The sequence below is a fragment of the Homo sapiens genome, chromosome 2 (assembly GCF_000001405.40).
Source record: "Homo sapiens chromosome 2, GRCh38.p14 Primary Assembly".
Taxonomy (NCBI): Eukaryota; Metazoa; Chordata; class Mammalia; order Primates; family Hominidae; genus Homo; species Homo sapiens.
This window is the reverse complement of record NC_000002.12, coordinates 231,687,055-231,707,820: the sequence shown is the minus strand read 5'-3', so window position 1 is coordinate 231,707,820 and position 20,766 is coordinate 231,687,055. Positions and strand designations below refer to the sequence as shown.

Sequence of the window (20,766 nt, the reverse complement as noted above, 5' to 3'; positions counted from 1 at the left end):
CCGTCGGCCAAGTCAGTCGACAAGCGGGCACCGTCCCAAGCACACACGGATTCATGTATCAAGCGGACTCGATGCGCGATGCCGGCTCCAGCCCTCGAGTGGGACAGCCCGCGGGCCCCGCACGGCATAGCGGTCCCCTCATTCTAGGTTTCTAGTTAGGGTCTGTCCCGAGCGGTCACTGCCGTCGCGACAGCCTCAGGGCAGCCTCCTCCAGGGGCCTGCCGGGCCATCGAGTCTACCCTTCTCCCACCCCACTGCTGGACTGCGATGGGCACATGAACATTACAGAGTTCCTCGGGAAAAATCATCGTCTCTGGAGCCAGTTGGGCTAATCTTTGGGGACTACCTGAAATTTGGGGGACCATTTAGAGAACCATGCGGAGCCCCGAGAAAGGGGAGCATCAAAACGCCACACTCAAGATGGCGCCGGGCTCGGCAAGCGTGGCGTGACGTAGCGATCTAGCTCACGTGGGCGATCCGAGAACAACAGGCTACGCTGGCCTTATCGCCACCGCACTTAGCTGTCGAACTAAGAAATCGGTTGTGTGGGAAAAAGGACCAGAATAGGTGGAAAGATAGTCCAGAAATTTACCTGTGCCACACACAAGATGGCGAGACGTAGGGTTCGTCCCTGTGCTGCCAAAAGGGGGCGCCCGACACGGAAGGCGGGACTCCGGAGACACGAGCGCACATTGGCCGAGAGTGGCGGGCGAACACAAAGTTGACGCTTTGCGTCCTTCCATTGGCAGTTTCTTCCGTCTGTCTCTCGGTTGCAGCCGAGCTGGGAATGGGGAAAACCCGGAGTGTGGGATCGTGGAGGGCGGACGATGCCAAGTCCAGCAGAGCTTGCGCTCGGGGCTAGAAGAGAGACTGAGTCTCCCTTCTCAGTTTCATTAGGTAATGGGCGACATGGCTCCGTCTCCACAGCGGGGCTTTGCTGAGCTTAGCACGCAGTCTCCCGGCGGGGAGGAGGCGCGCAGTGCCGGGCGCCACTCCGTCTCCAGTACGCGTTAGGCCCGCGTTCCCAGGTGCCCGTCTGGCCGCTGGACTGTTGGCCTTTCCGGAGCGAGTTTTACTTTAGGAAGAAGCCCGGGATCCCGGTAGTTTAGCCTGAAGAAACGTGGGGCAGATGCTGGGCAGGGCGGGGATACCGCGCCAACACCCGCTGCCCAGCGGTCGCCCTCCTATGCAGCGGCGAAGGGACGCCCGCTGTGTCTCCGCCCTGCCCCCAGGCGCCCCAGTGGCTGGAGGTGGCATTCTCCACTGGACGGGCGCGCCTCAATCCGGGGGACTTCCACAGTGCTGTTCCCGAGGACTACGCGTCTCAACTCTTTGTCGGGTTCCCTCCCTCCCACTGCCAGTCTGTCTTCACCGCCGCGCAGACCTGGGGCCGCCCTTCACAGAGGAAGGGCTCCTTGACCTCAGCCACCGTGACCCCCTCCTTTGTGTCACATTCTCAGAGAGTTGGAGGGATTATGCGTCATCGTAAACAGGGGGACAGAGCGCCTTCCACCTGCGGCGCATCCATTAAGTTCCAGTTACCCTCGAGAGGATTGTTTTTTCCACGAAACCCAGATGCAATGAGAGCCTGGCTTGTACCATCTCTAAGCATCGAGGCTTCCCCCTCGTCTGGGTGGTGGCCTTCGGGCAGTGGCTCCGGAAAGGCCATCAAGGCTTCCCCGTCGTCTGGATGGTGGCCTTCGGGCAGTGGACTGTGTCCATAGCTGAAAACCAGACTTGACAGTTCTGGATTCAGGCTGTTGTGGGAGCGGGAAGGTCAAACACCCAGAAGGAACTGATGAATGTGAATTTCCCTCTAAGAACTGCTTTGCCTGGCCGGGCGCGGTGGCTCACGCTTGTAATTCCAGCACTTTGGGAGGCTGAGGTGGGTGGATGCCGAGGTGAGTGGATCACGAGGTCAGGAGTTCGAGACCAGCCTGACCAACATAGTGAAACCCCCGTCTCTACTAAAAATACAAAAATTAGCCGGGCCTGGTGGCGTGCGCCTGTAATCCCAGCTACTCGGGAGGCTGAGACAGGAGAATCGCTTGAATCCGGGAGGCAGAGGTTGCAGGAGCTGAGATCACGCCATTGCACTCCAGCCTGGGCAACAGAGTGAGACTCCATCTCAAAAAAAAAAACAAAAAAAGAACTGTTTTCTGACGTTATTCCCATGCAGGTGCCTTTGCTAGAAGTGGGTGAGGAAGGCTCATGCCCATCTGGTTCCAGAACCACCACTTAAATTTCCCAAACACTCACTGAATGCCCGCTGTGTACATGGCAGTGAGCCTTTGACTCATGCTTCATTTTCATGTACAAGGTGGGTAGGACAGTTATGGAGTTGAACCATATGAAACTGATGTCTATGTAGGTGAAAACGAACTGAAAATCAACACATTTACAGGTTCAACTTCTGATATAACCCTCCTTTTAACAAATCAAAAAAGCAAACCTAGAGATTATAGCAAGGGACTTGGAGTTACCCACTGGATCAATGATGGAGCCGAGGCTAAGTCCTAAAACAGAGGAATCTGCATTTTTAGATGAGCCCTGGGGCAGAAGTTGCCCCCATGGACCTCCCTCTCATCCCAGGAGTGTGGTATCTGACAGCTCATAGTGGGGGAGTTATTTAGGCTATGAAGAACCGTGTTCCTTCAGCAACAGGTAGCTCCCTACCTCTTTTGCTGTTTCTTTTTTTTTTTTTTTTTTTTGAGACAGAGTCTCACTCTGTTCAGCCCAGGCTGGAGTGCAGTGGCGTGATCTCAGCTCACCACAACCTCCGCCTCCCGGGTTCAAGGGATTCTTCTGCCTCAGCCTCCCGAGTAGCTGGGACTACAGGCGTGCACCACCATGCCTGGCCAATTTTTGTATTTTTAGTACAGATGGGGTTTACTATTTTTGTATTTTTAGTACAGACGGGGTTTCACCATATTGTCCAGGCTGGTCTCAAACTCCTGACCTCATGATCCGCCCACCTCGGCCTCCCAAAGTGCTGGGATGACAGGCGTGAGCCACCGTGCCAGGCTTTTTTTTTTTTGAGACGAAGTTTCACTCTGTTGCCCAGGCTGGGGTGCATTGGCATGATCTTGGCTCACTGCAACCTCCGCCTCGTGGGTTCAAGTGATTCTCCTGCCTCCCTCAGCCTCCTGAGAAGCCAGGATTACAGGTACCTGCTACCATGCCCAGCTAATTTTTGTATTTTTAGTAGAGACGGGGTTTCACCATGTTGGCCAGGGTGGTCTCAAACTCCTGACCTCAAGTGATCCGCCCGCCTCAGCCTCCCAAAGTGCTGGGATTACAGGCATGAGCCACCACACCGGCCCTCTTTTGCTGTTTCTGAACAGACTATTCTTCCTGTCCTCTGTCACTTCCACTCATTGATACATCTCATGCCCTTTGTTATTACAGAGGAAGTCAGGCACTTTGGTGACCTTGCCCTTCAAACCCCCCAAGACAAGCTGGTGTGCCCTGGTAAGCCTGCTTTCCTGACCCCAGCCTGAGATACAGTGGGCTTCGGCTAGAGCTGCTGTGAGCAAGGGACCCAATATGTCCTCCAGGCATGTTTTGTTTTGTTTTGAGATGGGGTCTTGCTATGTTGCCCAAGCTGAACTCCAACTCCTGAGCTCAAGCTATCCTCGCACCTCAGCCTCCTGAGTAGCTGGGACAACAGATGCTTGCTACTGTGCCTGGCTTGTTTTGGGGGAATTTTCACAGGGACACCTCTGGGTGGTCTACACACTGTCCACATGGCCCACAGGCCTCTCCCCGCCCAGCCTGAGTAACACATTGATTTCATCTGCCTGGCCCTGTGGGCACTTCAGTTTGCAACTAAGCCTGCTCCTAAAGCCATTTACAACATATTTCTAATTGGTTATCTCACAAATCTGCTTGATCCCCAAAAGATCAGGCAGAATGAATTTTTAAGCTGCCTGGGTTCAAATGGCAGCCCTGACATACACTAGCTTTGTGAATTGGGCAAGTTACTTTCTCTCCTCTAAGAAACAGAGAGGACGGCCAGGTGTGGTGGCTCACACCTCTATCCCCAGCACTTTGGGAGGCCTAAGCAGGAGGATTGCTTGAGCTCCGGAGTTGGAGACCAGTCTCGGCAACATGACGAAACATCGACTCTAAAAATTTTTTAAAAATTAGCCGGGCATGGTGGCATGTGCCTGTAGTCCCAGCTACTCAGAAGGCTGAGGTGAGTGGATTGTTTGAGTCCAGGAGGTTGAGGCTGCAGTGAGCCATGATGGTGTCACTGTACTCCAGCCTGGGCAACACAGCAAGACTCTGTCTTAAAAAATAAAAAATAGGCCAGGCGCTGTGGCTCACGCCTGTAATCCCAGCACTTTGGGAGGCTGAGGCGGGCGGATCACGAGATCAGGAGTTCAAGACCAGCCTGGCCAACATAGTAAAACCCCATCTCTACTAAAAATACAAAAAATTAGCTGGGTATGGTGGTGCACGCCTATAATCCAGCTATTCTGGAAGCTGAGGCAGGAGAATCACTTGAACCCAGGAGGTGGAGGTTGCAGAGCCAAGATTGCTCCATTGCACTCCAGCCTGGGCAACAGAGCAAGACTCCGTCTCGAGAAAAATAAAAAATAATAATAAATTTAAAAATAAGCTGGGTGTGATGGCTCACACCTGTAATCCCCGCACTTTGGGAGGCCAAGGCGGGCAATCACCTGAGGTCAGGAGTTCGAGACCACCCTGGCCAATGTGGTGAAACCCCGTCTCTACTAAAAATACAAAAATTAGCTGGGCGCGGTGGTGGGCACCTGTAATCCCAGCTACTCGGGAGGCTGAGGCAGGAGAATCGCTTGAACTCGGCAGGCGGAGGTTGCAGTGAGCCAAGATGGCACCACTGCACTCCAGCCTGGGTGACAAGAGTGAAACTTCTTCTCAAAAAATAAAAAATAAAAATAAAAATTAAAAATAAAAAAGAGAGGCCGGGCATGGTGGCTCACGCCTATAATCTCAGCACTTTGGGAGGCCGAGGCAGACTGATCACGAGGTCAGGAGTTAGAGAACAGCATGGCCAACATAGTGAAACCCCATCTCTACTAAAAATACAAAAATTAGCCAGGCATGGTGGCGCGTGCCTGTAGTCCCAGCTACTCAGGAGGCTGAGGCAGGAGAATCACTTGAACCCGGGAGGTGGAGGTTGTAGTGAGTTGATATAGCGCCACTGCACTCCAGCTTGGACAACAGAGTGAGACTTCATATTAAAAAAATAATAAAAACAAATAAAAAAGAGAAGACAATAATAGTTCCTACTTTGCAGGATTATTGTGAGAATTGAATAAGTTAATATTCAGAAAGTGCTTAAAATAGTGTCCGACACATTTGGGAAACCACTGCACCCCATTTTCCAGCTGCTATCTGTACCTAAGTGGGTTGGCTTTACAGAGCTTGTAGGACTCTGGACAAAGGAACAATGTCTTCAGCAAGTTCTTTCCGTATTCAGTGGGAAATGAGGGCACTGGCCTCTCTAGTTTCTGGAAGCCTGTGATTTGGTGCCCGACATGCTTGGCAGCCCCTCTGGCCTCAAAGGCATGACAGAGTCTGGGAGGCAGGTGGAGTGGAGCAGGTCTCAAAAAATCCCGCCTTCCAGCCCTTCAGAAACCCAGGAGTTTCAGACTGTGGTTTCCTTATCCAGGCATAAGGGCCTGGGGAGCTGCCAGGAGCCTTTCTACCCTCCCGCCTTGCGAGCCTGGCTGGGATTGTGTAAGAGCCCCCAACGCCTGCTCCCTCAGCACGCCCAGGCCTGCCCATTCTCCTGGGGAGCTGTGCCAGAGACCTGGCTCCTGGTACTCACACAGGTCTGGCCACCCTGGGAGGTTCCTACAGGGAGAGGGTGGGAAATGTCTCTTAATGTTCCAGGCCTGTCCCCAAACCGATGCCAAGGCCTGTGGGGCCCGGGCATGAGCATAGGTAAGGAGGCTGGGAGAGGTGAGTGTGCAGTGTGCACAGACGCCACTGCCCCCGGACAGCAAAAGGCCATCGTGCCAGTCCTTGACTCCCTGTACACATGCTCCTTCAGATCCCTCCAGGAATCCTCTGCCTGCCTGTGTCACTTCCTGGCTCTCTTCCCTGGATCCCTCCGTGTGTGTGCACCTATTTGCATAGCTCGAGTTCCGTGGGTGTTTTGCTGAAGTTCCGGTTACAGTTCGTGAGTGGGTGGGCCCAGCAGCACGGCAGCAGGGAAAGGTGCTAGTTGGGGGAGCACATGAGCAGGCACACACCTGGGCACCCTACCTGTGAATGCCCACAAGAGCATTGCACCCGAGGAAAGGTTGGACACCACTATGTGACTTCCTGCTGCGCGGCCCCACATGGGAGCCCGAAGACCAGGAGGCCCAAGTAGGCCCTGAGGAGCGTCTGTGTGCCCGTGCCAAGCAGGAGGCCAAGCCCTGATAATCGTGAGGGTGAGGAGGGCAGGCTCTGCGACATCCTGACACTTACTCTTTCCCCTTCTCTGTTAATTTTTTTTTTTTTAAGAAGGAGTTTCACCCTTGTTGCCCAGGCTGGAGTGCAATGGGGCAAACCAAACTCAGCTCACCGCAACCTCTGCCTCCTGGGTTCAAGCAATTCTCCTGCCTCAGCCTCCTGAGTAGCTGAGATTGCAGGCATGCGTCACCATGCCTGGCTAATTTTGTATTTGTAGTAGAGACAGGGTTTCCCCATCTCAGTCAGGCTGGTCGTGAACTCCCGACCTCAGGTGATCCACCTGCCTTGGCCTCCCAAAGTGCTGGGATTACAGGCGTGTGAGCCACCGTGTCCAGCTCTTTTTTTTTTTTTTTAGACAGGGTCCCACTATGTCACTGAGGCTGGAGTGCAGCAGCACGATCTCAGCTCACTGCATCTTCTCTGTTCATCTTAAACAGGTCTTTTCTACCTTCCCTTCTCTGGCAGAGAATCTCCCCACCTTGTTTGGGGAGAAAGGTGTAAGGAGCAGAGGGCAGAGGCGAGGGGAGGACACACCACCAACTCGGACTGGCTCACCCTCCTCCTACCACAGGGAGCTACGGACGACGGGTGACCGACAGTCCCTGTTTGACTGAGGGATTCCCAGGATGCAGGACTCTCAGTGCCACAACTAGAAAAACTCCTGGGCAAACTGGGACATGTTGCTCATACTAGTTCACTAGTTCACTCCTTATCACATACTGGGAACATTTCTTTTCTTTTTTCTTTTTTTTTTTTTTTTTGAGACAGGGTCTCTCTCTGCTGCCCAGGCTGGAGTGTAGTGGCGGCGCAATCTCTGCTCACTGCAGCCTCAACCTCTTGGGCTCACGTGATCTTCCCACGTCAGCCTCCAAGTAGCTGGAACTACAGGTGCGCACCACCACACCCAGCTAATTTTTTAATTTTTCATAGAAACCGGGTTTCCCTATGTTATGCAGGCTGGTCTCGCACTCCTGCCCTTAAGTGATCTTCCTGCCTCAGCCTCCCAGAGTGCTGGATTACAGGCGTGAGCCACTGTGCCCGGCCAAAGAATGACATTTCTCAAGAAATCTGTAACCACCACCAAGACCATGAGTCCCTGTGGCCCTCCATCCAAAACCAGCCTCCCACTGAGATCCATCTCTCTTTGCCACAAGAATCCAGGGTGACAGAGCTACAAGGACACCGGGAGCATTTGGATTTCACATTGCAGAGTCGGGGGATTGAAGGGCTTAGGTAGATCACAGAGCGAGCTGGTGCCCAGGATCAGGACCCCTCGGGAGGGCTCTCAGCTGCCTCCAAGGTAAGGTTCGCTAATGAGGTCCAGAGCATGGAGATCCGTTCCTTTCTAGCTCCCGGCAGAGCAAGCGTCTCTAGAAGGGGAAGAGATTTCTCAGGCTCCTTTCAGAAACATTCTTTCCTCCAAGACATTTTCTGAGAATCTCACAGGAGGAATCTCACTTGAACAATTCTATAGGAAAACCTCAAAATAGGATGCAGCATCACCCAGAAGTGAAGCCTCATCAGGGAGGGGAAGGCAAGGTGGGCGCCTTTCCAGGAAAGCTCGAGTCCCATGCACATGTGAAGTCCGAGGGGAAAGCTGCCAGTCAGCACCTGGACCGAGAGCTTCCCAAGCTGTCCTCAGCCTCAGTGAGTTCTCCCGAGCCTGGCAAGTTGTGGCCCGACCTTGAATTGTGGTCATTTACGGCCCCTTCCAGCATCTTTCTCCTGGTTATGCCATCCTCTTGCTGTTAGATGCTGTAACAGTGTTATCTCACTGGGCACGGTGGCTCATGCCTGTAATCCCAGCACTTTGGGAGCCTGAGGAGGGTGGATCACCTGAGGTCAGGAGTTCGAGACCAGCCTGGCCAACATGGTGAAACCCCGTCTCTACTAAAAATACAAAAATTATCCAGGCGTGGTGGCAGATGCCTGTAATCCCAGCTACTTGGGAGGCTGAGGCAGGAGAATCGCCCGAACCTGGGAGATGGAGGTTGCAGTGAGCCAAGATTGCACCATTGCACTCCAGCCTGGGCGACACAGTGAGACTCTGTCTCAAAAAAAAAAAGCACTGGGCAGACACCTCTCATCCATTTCGCTGCTGGCACGGTCTCAGCATTCCCACTTAACTAAACGGAACGAAGAATATGGCCCAGCTCCCAGAGAGAGAGCAGTGTGGCTGTTTGTCCCCACTTTGACCTGACTCTTCACAGGGCCGTGGTGCTGAGGCACAAAGGCCCTGGTTAAGACATATTTTTGAGACCCTGAAGTATGAATCACCTTGGTATGAATCAGTCTCCTTTTGGGCCTTATGTGATACATTGGAAGTTTCCTTAATTAAGATTTTCAGGGGCTCGGCCCAGCATGGTGGCTCACATCTGTAATCCCAACACTTTGGGAGGCCGAGGTGGGCAGATCACCTGAGGTCAGAAGTTAGAGACCAGCCTGGCCAACATGGTGAAACCCCGTCTCTACTAAAAATACAAAAATGAGCCAGGCATGGTGGCGCGCACCTGTAATCCCAACTACTCAGAAGGCTGAGGCAGGAGAATTGCTTGAACCCGGGAGGCGGAGGTTGCAGTGAGCCGAGATCACGCCATTGCACTCCAGCCTGGGGGTCAAGAGCGAGACTTCATCTCAAAAAATAAATAAATAAATAAGTAAGTAAATAAATAAGAATAAATAAAGATTTTCAGGGGCTGGGCACAGTGGCTCACACCTGTAATCCCAGCAATTTGGGAGGCTGAGGCAGGAGGATCACTTAAGCCTAGGAGTTTGAGACCAGCCTAGGCAACATAAGGAGACCCCATCTCTACGAAAAAAAAAAAAAATTTATTTTGAGACAGAGTCGCTGTGTCACCCAGGCTGGAGTGCAGTGGTGAGATCTCAACTCACTGCAACCTCCAACTCCCGGGTTCAAGCATTTCTCCTGCCTCAGCCTCCCAAGTAGCTGGGACTACAGGCGCTCGCCACCATGCCCGGCTAATTTTTGTATTTTTAGTAGAGACGGGGTTTCACTATGTTGGTCAGGCTGGTCTGGAACTCCTGACCTCAGGTGATCCACCCACCTTGGCTTCCCAAAGTGCTGGGATTACAGGCATGAGCCACCGCGCCCAGCTGAAAAAAATTTTTAAATAGCCATATATAGCGGCACATGCCGGTACTCCCACCTACTCTGGAGGCTGAGATGGGAGGATTGCTTGAGCCCAGGAGGTCAAGGTTACAGTGAGCTGTGATCGAGCCACTGCACTGCAGCCTGGGTGAGAACAAGACTGCCTTAAAAAAAAAAAAAAAACTTTTAGGATTGTATGATGTGTTCTGGAATGCTCTTCAGAAGTGTCTGCTTCTCGGCTGGGCGCGGCGGCTCACGCCTGTAATTGCAACACTTTGGGAGACTGAGGCCGGTGGATCATCTGAGGTCAGGAGTTCAAAATCAGCCTGGCCACCATGGTGAAACCCCATCTCTACTAAAAATACCAAAAAAATAGCTGGGCGTGGTGGCGGGCGCCTGAATCCCAGCTACTTGGGAGGCTGAGGCAGGAGAATTGTTTGAACCCGGGAGGCGGAGGTTGCAGTGAGCCAAGATCGCACCATTGCACTCCAGCCTGGGCAACAAGAGTGAAACTCCATCTCAAAAAAAAGAAAAAGAAAAAGAAAAAAAAGACATGTCTGCTTCTCTTAAGGCTGAATTTGGATGCAAGGGCATTCATGAGGGAAAGTAAAATGTGTTCTGAATACCTGCAGAAACAGATGAAAGAGAAATTAGAAATTTGTGATTCTATATGAAATGAAACAGCTCTCAAAGCAACGGCTCTCAAAGCAGGGAGAGATGGGTGTCAAGAAACATTCTGGCTGGGCGCGGTGGCTCACGCCTGTAATCCCAGCACTTTGGGAGGCTGAGGCAGGTGAATCACCTTGGTCTCAAAAGAAAAAAAGAGTCCGGGTGCGGTAGCTCATGCCTGTAATCCCAGCACTTTGGGAGGCAGAGGCAGGCAGATCATGAGGTCAGGAGTTCGAGTGAAACCCTGCCTCTACTAAAGATACAAAAAATTAGCCAGGCATGGTGGTGTGTGCCTGTAACCCCAGCTACTCGGGAGGCTGAGGCAGAGAATTCTTGAACCTGAGAGGCAGAGGTTGCAGTGAGCCGAGATCGCGCCATTGCATACTGGCCTGGGTGTGGAAAAAAGAAAGATCCTTAGCTGAGAACCCTAGCTTTCAAAGCTTTCAGCTTCATGGAGAACTGTCACCTGGCAGTAGTAGGGTTTCGCCATGCTTTGTCTCCATTGCAGCCGCTCCCCTCTCAGGTCCCTCTGCCCCAGCCACAGTGGGACAGGGAGCTCGCTGCCTGCAGGATTCATGCCTAGGCTTGATTGACACTGGTCCTAAACAGGTCTCTTTACTTCCCCCACCTCATTCCCCTCATGCAGGGCTGACAGGAGTGCAGATTTCTGAGCATGGACGGCCGTGTTGGCACCCGCCTCCCTGAGGACCCTGTGAGCTGGGCGTGGGCGGGGAAGGCATGGTTGTGTCCTCCACTCAGCGTGAGTGAGCAGACATTGCCCAAAGCCCTACAGTTATTCAGTGGCAGAGCTGGGATCTGAACCCCAGCTGACTCCAGAGCCCCATGCTACCTGCAGTTGCAGCCTCAGCTTCAAGGGGAAAAGTCACAAGCAGTACTGCCACCATCCACGTGCCAGTCCCCTTGACCACCCTGTCCCCTCACGCACCACAGAGGGGATCTGGGGGTGTCCTCTGTTGATTGATAAGCAGTTTTACTTTATTTCATTTTATGTATTTGAGATGGGGTCTCACTTTGTTGCCCAGGCTGGTCTTGAACTCCTGGGCTCAAGCAGTCTTCTCATCTGGGCCCCACAAAGTGCTGAGATTACAGGTGTGAGCCACCATGCCTGGCCAGGAGTTTTATTTTCACAAACTGAGGCCCTCATTCTCCAGCAGTTGCCTCAAAGGTGGTATGAGGGTAGGGAGGGTGTCCCAGATGAGTGATTTCTAGTTGTGGGCAAGATTTTTCTAGTAGGACCTGGTGACCTGGGGGCAGGACATTTTGCAACTGTTTGTTGCCAGAGGCTCACCAGAAGGCTTACTAAAAATGTGCTCCCGGGGTGTTCTTTTGAAATTTTTCATGGCATCAGTAGATAATTGGTAACATCTGCCTTGAACATGTTTCCAGGCTAACCTATCCCATGGCCTTGCTCCAGAGTTGGGCCTGGAAGTACTGCATTGCACAATGTTCCTTTTAAGGGGACCCACAGGACAAATTTCTTTCGGGCCTCAGCACCAGCAGGACAGTGTGGCTCAGTGTTTAGGAGCACAGGCTCCAGGTGGCCCCTTCTGTGAGTGGGGCAAGAGCCCCCCAGAACTGGGCTCCTTGCCTGCTTCTGTGTCATGAAGCTGAGTCCTCGGACAAGAGTGTGACCCCTGTGAGCCGCTTCTCGTATGTAAAACACATGAATATAACAACCTCCTGGCCAGCCCGGTGGTGCATGCCTGTAACCCCAACACTTTGGGAGGCCAAGGCGGGAGGATCACTTGAGCCTAGGAGTTCAAGACCAGCCTGGGCAACATAGTGGGACACCCCCTCTGTCTCTACAAAAAAAATTAAAAATTAGCCGGGCTTCGTGGTGCATGCCTGTAATCCCAGCTACTTAGGAGGCTGATGGGAGAATCGCTTAAGCCCAAGAGATCAAAGTAGCAGTGAGCCAAGATTGCACCACTGCACTCCAGCCTGGATAACAAAGCAAGACTCTGTCTCAAAAAACAAAAACAAACAAACAAAAAAACTTGGCCAGGCTCTGTGGCTCATACCGGTAATCATAGCACTTTGGGAGGCCAAGAAGGGAGTATCACCTGAGGTCAGAAGTTCAAGACCAACCTGGCCAACATAGTCAAACCCTGTGTCAACTAAAAATACAAAAATTAGCTGGGCATGATGGTGGGTGCCTGTAATCCAGCTACTTGGGAGGCTAAGACTTGGGAGGCTAAGGCAGGAGAATCGTTCGAACCCAGGAGGCGGAGGTTGCAGTGAGCCGAGATCATGCCATTGCACTCCAGCCTGGGCAACAAGAACAAAACTCCATCTAAAAAAAAAAAAAAACACTTGATAATCACCAGCCACTTATTATTACCAGGAAAAGCTAGGCTTTTGAATAACTTGTTTCCCTTTTTTCTTTATAGGGCCTCCAGGTCTTGTAACTGGTCCCCTTCCTTCTCTCTTGGCTAGGAAGCTCGGTGCCAGCTGTGAGTTGCAGCTCTTGGTTCCGTGGCCTCCTGGAGGCCAACAGGACTCACCCTGTCTCTGTCTTCTTCTTTCCTACCCTATTTTCCTCGACCCAACAACTTCAGTTATTTTTTCCCTGTTGTCCTTTTTTTTTTTTTTTTTTTTGAGACAGAGCCTCACCCTGTTGCCCAGGCTGGAGTGCAGTGGTGCGAGCTCAGCTCACTGCCACCTCCTGGGTTCAAGCGATTTTCCTGCCTCGGGCTCCCAGGTAGCTGGGATTACAGGTGCACGCCACCACGCCCAGCTAATTTTTATATTTTTAGTAGAGACCGGGTTTCACCATGTTGGTCAGACTAATCTCGAACTCCTGACCTCAGGTGATTCGCCCGCCTCAGCCTCCCAAAGTGCTGGGATTACAGGCATGAGCCACTGTGCCCAGCGTCCTTTAGGTATTTCTACAAACTTTAGAACTGAGGCCTAAATTAATTAAAATGGTAATTAATTAAACAAACTAGAGCCTTTTATACCCAGGGCAGTTTCCCATAGGTTATGTCATTTGAGCCTCACGCCAATCAAGGCAGGTGTCCCCATTTCACACAAGTGGAGATCAAGGCTGCCAGAAGGAACTGGTGGAGGTGGGGACCAACCTGGCTTTGCCCCCGTCCCAGCTTTGTCCCCTGGCTTTGACCCTGTCCCGGCTCCGTGAGTGGCTGCCCCCACTCATGAAGCCCTTCCCACTGTCCCCCGCCTGGACATAAGCCCTTCCCACTGTCCCCTGCCTGGACATAAGCCCTTCCCACTGTCCCCCGCCTGGACATAAGCCCTTCCCACTGTCCCCCGCCTGGACATAGCTTTGTGACTATGTGGTCACATCCATGTCACCTTCCATTTCCCCAGTGTCATTGTCTGGCCCTTTGAGGGAACTTTCCAAGAGATTATGGCATTCCCTCCCTTACTGAAGGATGAGTAAGAAACCAGCCACGCCTCTGCACGGCCCCTCCATGGCATTTACACCAAATGGTTCCGATTTGGCTTTCCCTCATGGGACAGACAGGAACATCCCTGGGATTGGCATCGTGCTGCTCAGCCTTAAGGAAATGTGGTCCCACACTCTGAGGAACAGGCCGCAGGAGCTCAGAACACCAGGCCCAGGCCAGTGCCTCAGAGACCCCACAGGCAGGCTGGCGGGAGCGCACCACCTCGCCCAGCAACCCCTTGCTCCCAGAGGGAGTTCTTTAGGGAAGGCCCTGACCCTGGGGGGTCACAGATCGCCAGTGAGATGCAGAAGGGAGACCCCCTTTAAGACCCCACCTCCCCTGGGGGCTTACAGCCTTGGTATCCAGCTGAGCACCTGAAACTACAGACGTGCCAGGCGGGCAAGAGCTGAGTTGGGGCCAAGGTGGGAGAGAGCTGCGCTGCCCTTCAGGATGAAAGGGGAACAGCGGTGCCTTTCCACTGGCATGACATGTCAATAACAAAGCAACCTGCCATTTATAATGTGTTCATAATGCCCGTTCTTGGTATTCAAAGCTTATGGTTGTTGCTTTTCAAGAATGTGTGGCAGCGCAGTTGGTGGTGTTACCTCCGAAGTCAGATCTGCTCCCAAGTTTCCAACCCCTGCCCTGGAGTCCCCTTCCCAGGGGGCCCTCAGTCATCCCAAGGCCTCAGGCCAGGGCCTTGCTGGCCCCTGCTGCATAGACACACTGAGCTCTGTGCTATCACCCCAAACTCCCACCAGAAACACACTTCCTTGGGCCCCACAGCCCAGGAACAACGTGAGTGAATTTGAGTGTTTCCTGTGTGTCCACACGGGTGTCAGCCAACTTCCCCTCTCCACAGAAGCATGTCCATCCTCATCTGTTCTTAGGCAGCCATGCCCATGTACTGCCTCAGGCTGCTGGAGCTCAGGGGACCAGTCTGGCCAGAGGGGCCAGTGGGAAAGGCCAGGAAAGAGCCAAGCCTGAAAACCTAGGAAACAGTGCTGTGGGGCCCGAGCCCCAGCTGCTCGCTGGTGGGTATTTGAGGGGGCCTGCCTTGCCTACCTGGATGGAAGCACAGCATGGAGCCGCCACTGGGGGCAGGCCTGGTGCGGGCATAGAACGCAGGGCAAGAGGCACCTGCAGGCGCGCGGCCACACCCAGGCCTTGGCCCAGCCTGTCCTCTCTTCCCTGTAGCAGGCCCGTTCCACACTCCCACGCCCAGTCTCTCGGTGTGCATGTACATGTCTGTACAACCATGAACACGGATCCCATGTCCTGAATGTGGCCACAGATGTGTGCATGCGTGTGCAGATGCGAGCATGTGCCCATGATACCACCAACCGTTCAACCACCCTTTCCCCTCCTAGGGGCCGGGGCACCAAGCAGGTCCCTGCAGATCTGTGGGTGTTGGTTTTATTCTCCCTTGTATGTTTCTGTATTAAAAAAAAAAAAAAAAAAAAAAACTTTTGGCAGGGCACAGCGGCTCATGCCTGTAATTCCAGTACCTTGGGAGGCCGGAGCAGGAGGATCACTTGAGCCCAGGAATTTGAGATCAGCCTGGGCAACATAGGGCGACTTTGTCTCGCAAAAAAATTAAAAAATTAAGCCGGGCATGGTGGCTCACGCCTGTAATCCCAGCACTTTGGGAGGCCCAGGCGGGCAGATCCCTTGAGGCCAGGAGTTCAAGACCAGCCTGGCCAACATGGCAAAACCCTGTCTCTACCAAAAATACAAAAAATTAGCCAGGTGTGGTGGCGCATGCCTGTAATCCCAGCTACTTTGGAGGCTGAGGCAGGGTAATCACTTGAACCCGGGAGATGGAGGTTGCAGTGAGCCGAGATCGCGCCACTGCATTCCAGCCTGGGTGACAGAGCGAAACTGTCTCAAAAAAAAAAAGAAGAAGTCATTTTGGCCAGGCATGGTGGCTCATGCCGGTAATCCCAGCACTTTGGGAGGCTGAGGCGGGTGGATCATCTGAAGTCAAGAGTTCGAGACCAGCCTGGCCAACATGGTGAAACCACCGTCTCTACTAAAAATACAAAAATAGCTGGGTGTGGTAGCAGATGCCTTGATCCAAGCTACTCGGGAGGCTGAGGCACGAGAATTGCTTGAACTCGGGAGGCGGAGGTTGCAGTGAGCTGAGATCGTGCCACTGCACTCCAGCCTGGGCAACAGAGTGAGCTTCCATCTCAAAGAAAGAAAGAAAGAAAGAAAGAAAAATTAGCGGCCAGGCGCAGTGGTTTACGTCTATAATCCCAGCATTTTGGGAGACTGAGGCGGGCAGATCACAAGGTCAGGAGTTCAAGACCAGTCTGGCCAACGTAGTGAAACCCCGTCTCTACTAAAAATACAAAAAATTAGCCGAGTGTCGTGGTGTGCACCTGTAATCCCAGCTACTCTAAAGGCTGAGGCAGGAGAATCACGTGAACCCAGGAGGCAGAGGTTGCAGTGAGCCAAGATCATGCCGTTGCACTCCAGCTGGGGCAACAGTGTGAAACTCCGTCTCAAAAAAAGAGAAAAAAAAATTAGCCAAGTGTGGTGTTGCACCTGAGGTCCTAACTACTTGGGAGGTTGAGGTGGGAGGTTTGCCTGAGCCCAGGAGGTCGAGGCTGCAGCAGCTGTGAGTGTGCCACTGCACTCCAGACTGGGCTTTAGGACTCCAGGGTGGACAATTCTAGGTAGATTCCCGGGGCCTCCCCTGCTGATCGCTGCCCCCACCAGCTTTCCTCTGGCAGAGCCCGCCCTCCCAGTACTCGGATTTGCTGTTTTCATCCCCCATTCTCACATTACTGCGCCTCTGGGACAAGTCACTGTACCTCCCTGGTGCCTCAGTTTTCTGACCAAAACAGCAACAAAATAAGCAAATCAATCAAACAGCTAATAATGCCACTTATCTGGGTGATGGAAACTCAGGGCCAGGCGCAGTGGCTCACGTCTGTAATCTCAGCACTTTGGGAGGCTGAGGCAGGCGGATCACCTGAGGTCAGTTCAAGACAAGCCTGGTCAACATGGCAAAACCCCGTCTCTACCAAAAATACAAAAAATTAGCAGGGCATAGTGGCGCATGCCTGTAATCTCAGCTACCAGGGAGACAGGCAGGAGAATCACTTGAACCCAGGAGGCAGAGATGGCAGTGAGCTGAGATCGTCCCATTGCACTCCAGCCTGGGTGACAAGAGCAAAACTCTATCTCAAAAGAAGGCCAGGTGTGGTGGCTCACGCCTGTAATCCCAGCACTTTGGGAGGCTGAGGCAGGTGAATCACGATGTCAGGAGTTCGAGACCAGTCTGGCCAACATAGTGAAACCCCGTCTCTACTAAAAATACAAAAAAAAAAAAAAAATTAGCTGAGTGTGGTGGTGTGTGCCTGTAATCCCAGCTACTCGGGAGGCTGAAGCAGGAGAATTGTGTGAACCCGGGAGGCGGAGGTTGCAGTGAGCGGAGATAGCACCATTGCACTCCAGCCCAGGGGACAGTGCGAGACTCCCTCTCAAAAAAAAAAAAAAAAAAGAAAAGAAACTCAGTTCCACTAGAGGCATTTCATGTGGTCCAATCCCTTTCCCCACACTAGAAAGGGATTGTGGAGCTAACCCAGTCCCACAGCCCACCATGGCAGGCATGACTCCTCCATAAGCCCCCTTCGGGGCTCACCTGCTCTCAGCCTGGACACCTGCACACCCAGGTGAGCAGTCATGCACCCACACCTGGGACGTCAAAGCACAGCCTGCTCATGAGAAAACCCTGCCTCCTAATGAGTGCAACGCTGGCCTCTCCCATGAACCATCAGATCCCGGGGGTCAGGGGAGGCCCCAGCTTAACTTCTCTGAGCCTCTGCTTCTTTTCTTCTTTTTTTTTTTTTGAGACAAAGTCTCCTTCTGTTGCCCAAACTGGAGTGCAATGGCATGATCTCGGCTCACTGCAACCTCCACCTCCCGGGTTCAAGAGATTCTCCCGCCTCAGCTTCCTGAGTAGCTGGGATTACAGGTGCGCACCACCACGCCTGGCTAATTTTTGTATTTTTAGTAGAGACGGGGTTTCACTATGTTGGTCAGACTCGTCTTGAACTCCTGACCTCAGGTGATCCACCCGCCTTGGTCTCCCAAAGTGCTGGGATTGCAGGCGTGAGCCACCGTGGCCCGCCACTCTATTTCTTTTTGTAAAGGTGGGAATAGAATGAGAAAAAAGGTACTTTGCAGACTCTGAACAGCTCTGTAGATATTATTTATTATGGTGAAACCATTTGAGACCAATTACAGAGCAACACATCAAGGATCATAGAACAATACCAGGAAAATTGCACACATATGTGCTAAGGAGACCCCCAGGACAAACACTTTGAGCCAAGTTCTGCTGTGGTGGCAGTGCATTTGGGTGGCATCTCTATGCCCTGCATTCCCTGCACAAGATCAATGCCTCAGAGCCAGCAGGGGGGCGGGGGGTTGGCCTCACATGACCTTGAGGACGTTTTGGCTCAGAGACAGGATCACACAGCTCACAGACAAGGCCAGGTTTGGAATTCAGGTCTTTTGGCCTCAGAATATGGGCGTTTTTCACTCTGTGGCCGCAGTAGGCCAGTTTTCAAGCCAGAGACATGGAGACATGGGAGCAGATGTGAGCCACGCAAGTGGATGAAGCACGAGCCACTTGCCGTGGGGAAGGGTAGCTATGCGTCCGTGCACCCGTCAGCACATGCGCATTGAGCACCTGCCTCCACTGGAGGAAGTGAACATTCTGGGGGCCATGGAAGGGAGAGGGATGGGTTCCTCAGGGCTTTTGTGGCTGGGACCAAGGGGCTGACTCCCTCAACCTTGTTAGAGGCTGCCAAGGGCCTGCTTTTTGGCACAAGCTGACCTCTGCTATTCATCAACGCCAGTTAGTGGATCCTGGGGCTCCAGTTGAGGGGGGCAGAAAGACACAGAGGTGGGGGAAGGAGGACAAAGGGGCCTCCCTTGGGTCACCCAAGGTGCCAGGGGACTCGGAGTAGGAGACGGAGCCTGGCAGGGTGGGTCAGGCCTGCGTGTGGGTGGGCCTGGTGGATGAAGGCAGCGGAACAGTGGGAGGGAGCAGGGATGTCCTGATGAATAGACCGATGAGTAGCAGGTGGACGGGCAGCCAGGGCAGCTCTGGGCACCAGCCTCCTGCTCCCGGCCGCCGGCCAGGCCAGTAGGCTGGGGGCAGGGATGCCACCGGCCTCTGCTGTGGGTGAGGTTGTGGTAATAAATCACTGGCCAGGGCCAGGAGCCTGCAGCCTTCAGCACTTGCTCCCTGAGGACCAGCTAATTCACTTGCAGTGAGGCCGGCACTAACGACGGCCCATGTACCTAAGTACACCGCAGCCCTGCCGAGCGGCGTGTACCGCTAACCTCCTAGCAAGGGGCCCTACGATGGTGGACAGAATCCCCACCCCTGCCACAGGTTTGGCCAGCTCCCTGCCTGCCCTCGGGAGGGCCAGAAACACCCCTGAGGGAGGGGAGACCCCCCACCCTTGGCCTGATGAAGCTGGGGGAGGAGAGGCAGTGCAGACACCCCCTCTTGAACTGCACAGGGCCTAATTATGGGAGCAACTGGGAAGGAGACTGGGGGTTGCTGGTGGGTGGGGAGGGTCAGTCTCGTCCTTCCTTGGTGGAAGGGGGAGGAGGAGGAACCTCATTCAGCCAAGGCCCATCACCAGGTCCAGAGCGTGGTCCTACCAAATAGAAACTCAAGTCCCAAGAAACAAACCACTTAGAAAACAAGGCCCGGCATCTTGCCAGGCTCTCCCTGATGCTGGCTGTTGGCTGATGGCACAAGTGTGGCATTCCTGGGCTGCCCCATCCCTTTCTGGTTCATGTACCAGGGTTTAGTGAGCACATACTATGTGACTCCCTGCTGGGGTCCACACATTGTCCCAAAGGCTCAGCCAGGAAAGCACTCAGCACACAGTGATCACCACAGCGAAAGCAGCCAATATCCACCCACCATGGCCTGGCACCAAACCAGGGCTCTGCATGCACTGCCTTGTTTGCCCCCAGCTCCACCTGCAAGGCAGGGACTGCTAAAGATGCCCATTTTACAGATGAGAAAACTGAGGTTGTGGAGGTTAAATCACTCGCCCAAGACTCTTAACTTGTAAGTAGCAGACGTGGTGTCTTGAATGATTCCCACGCATAACCTCCAAGACTCCAAGTTGGGGTGAAGGGGTACTGAAAGGTGAGGTCAGAAGAGCCGGGCACTGAGAGAAGGGGAACACTGAGGGGCTTGCCATTGGGGTTCTCAGCTCCCATTTCAGCATTCTGGAAGCCCCTCCCCACCTCCCGCCCAGGGGACAGTACATTAACAAGCTCTCAGAGGGACAATGGGGAGGCCACAGGGTAAGCACCCTTGGCCCCTTGGGCTGCACTGTGAGGGGCAGAGGATCGCAGGGCTCTGGGGGCTGCACGGTCCTGCCTGGAACAGGCATGGGTGATGGGCGGGCTCTCCATCCTTGTGGTGGCTGCTGTCCTAGTGCTGGGCACCTGCCTGGAGCCTGGGTCCTCTCACTGCTCCACAGCCCCCCAGGCTCATCTCTGGGGCTCAGATGAGCACAACCTCAACCAGGCAGGTCCTGCAGGACTCTCGGTCGCCAGGCATAGTCACAGGAGGTCCCCAGGCACAGCCGCCTCCCGGGAGTTGGCGGGGTGGTGAAACAAAAGGGACCTGGCTTGGGAGGGCAGGAGGTGACCACGTGCTCCCTCCCAACCCCTAACCCTCCAGTGGCTGGGCCTGGAGGGATGGGGCCTAGAGTGCCCTCTGCCGGCCTGGGGGGCTCCTCGAGGGAGGAGGTAGCAGCTCCAGGTCCCTGATCAGCAGTTCCTCTTCCAGCATCTAAGGCCTGGCCGGGTGTGTGCTGGTGGGTGCCTGTGGGTTCTGTGTGAGTATGTGCTGTATGTGAGCAGGTCTATGTGTGTCTGTGTCTGCTGATGTGTCCCAGGAATGCCTGTGTCTGATGTGCGCAGGGTGTGCCCGTGAGTGTGTGTGTGAATCTGTGAGCATGCATCTGTGTGTGTCTGTCTGCACATCTGTGTCTGTTTTTGTCCATGTATACATGCCCGTGTGTCAGCATGTGCAGGTGTGTTATGAATGCATGT

General features: G+C 53.6%; 6 annotated features.

Moving 5' to 3' along the window:
* Positions 526 to 1,164: an enhancer, noted in NCBI's record as "NANOG-H3K27ac-H3K4me1 hESC enhancer chr2:232571367-232572005 (GRCh37/hg19 assembly coordinates)". NCBI's record gives its function as "activates a minimal SCP1, AML or CMV promoter by ChIP-STARR-seq in primed H9 embryonic stem cells {active_cell/tissue: H9 hESC(primed)}" and the evidence as "EXISTENCE:reporter gene assay evidence [ECO:0000049][PMID:30033119]".
* Positions 10,367 to 10,866: an enhancer, noted in NCBI's record as "H3K4me1 hESC enhancer chr2:232561665-232562164 (GRCh37/hg19 assembly coordinates)". NCBI's record gives its function as "activates a minimal SCP1, AML or CMV promoter by ChIP-STARR-seq in primed H9 embryonic stem cells {active_cell/tissue: H9 hESC(primed)}" and the evidence as "EXISTENCE:reporter gene assay evidence [ECO:0000049][PMID:30033119]".
* Positions 10,867 to 11,368: an enhancer, noted in NCBI's record as "H3K4me1 hESC enhancer chr2:232561163-232561664 (GRCh37/hg19 assembly coordinates)". NCBI's record gives its function as "activates a minimal SCP1, AML or CMV promoter by ChIP-STARR-seq in primed H9 embryonic stem cells {active_cell/tissue: H9 hESC(primed)}" and the evidence as "EXISTENCE:reporter gene assay evidence [ECO:0000049][PMID:30033119]".
* Positions 19,610 to 20,334: an enhancer, noted in NCBI's record as "H3K27ac-H3K4me1 hESC enhancer chr2:232552197-232552921 (GRCh37/hg19 assembly coordinates)". NCBI's record gives its function as "activates a minimal SCP1, AML or CMV promoter by ChIP-STARR-seq in naive and primed H9 embryonic stem cells {active_cell/tissue: H9 hESC(naive and primed)}" and the evidence as "EXISTENCE:reporter gene assay evidence [ECO:0000049][PMID:30033119]".
* Positions 19,610 to 20,363: a biological region, named in NCBI's record as "H3K27ac-H3K4me1 hESC enhancer GRCh37_chr2:232552197-232552921".
* Positions 20,204 to 20,363: an enhancer, noted in NCBI's record as "active region_17311". NCBI's record gives its function as "activates an Ori minimal core promoter by ATAC-STARR-seq in GM12878 lymphoblastoid cells {active_cell/tissue: GM12878}" and the evidence as "EXISTENCE:reporter gene assay evidence [ECO:0000049][PMID:35858748]".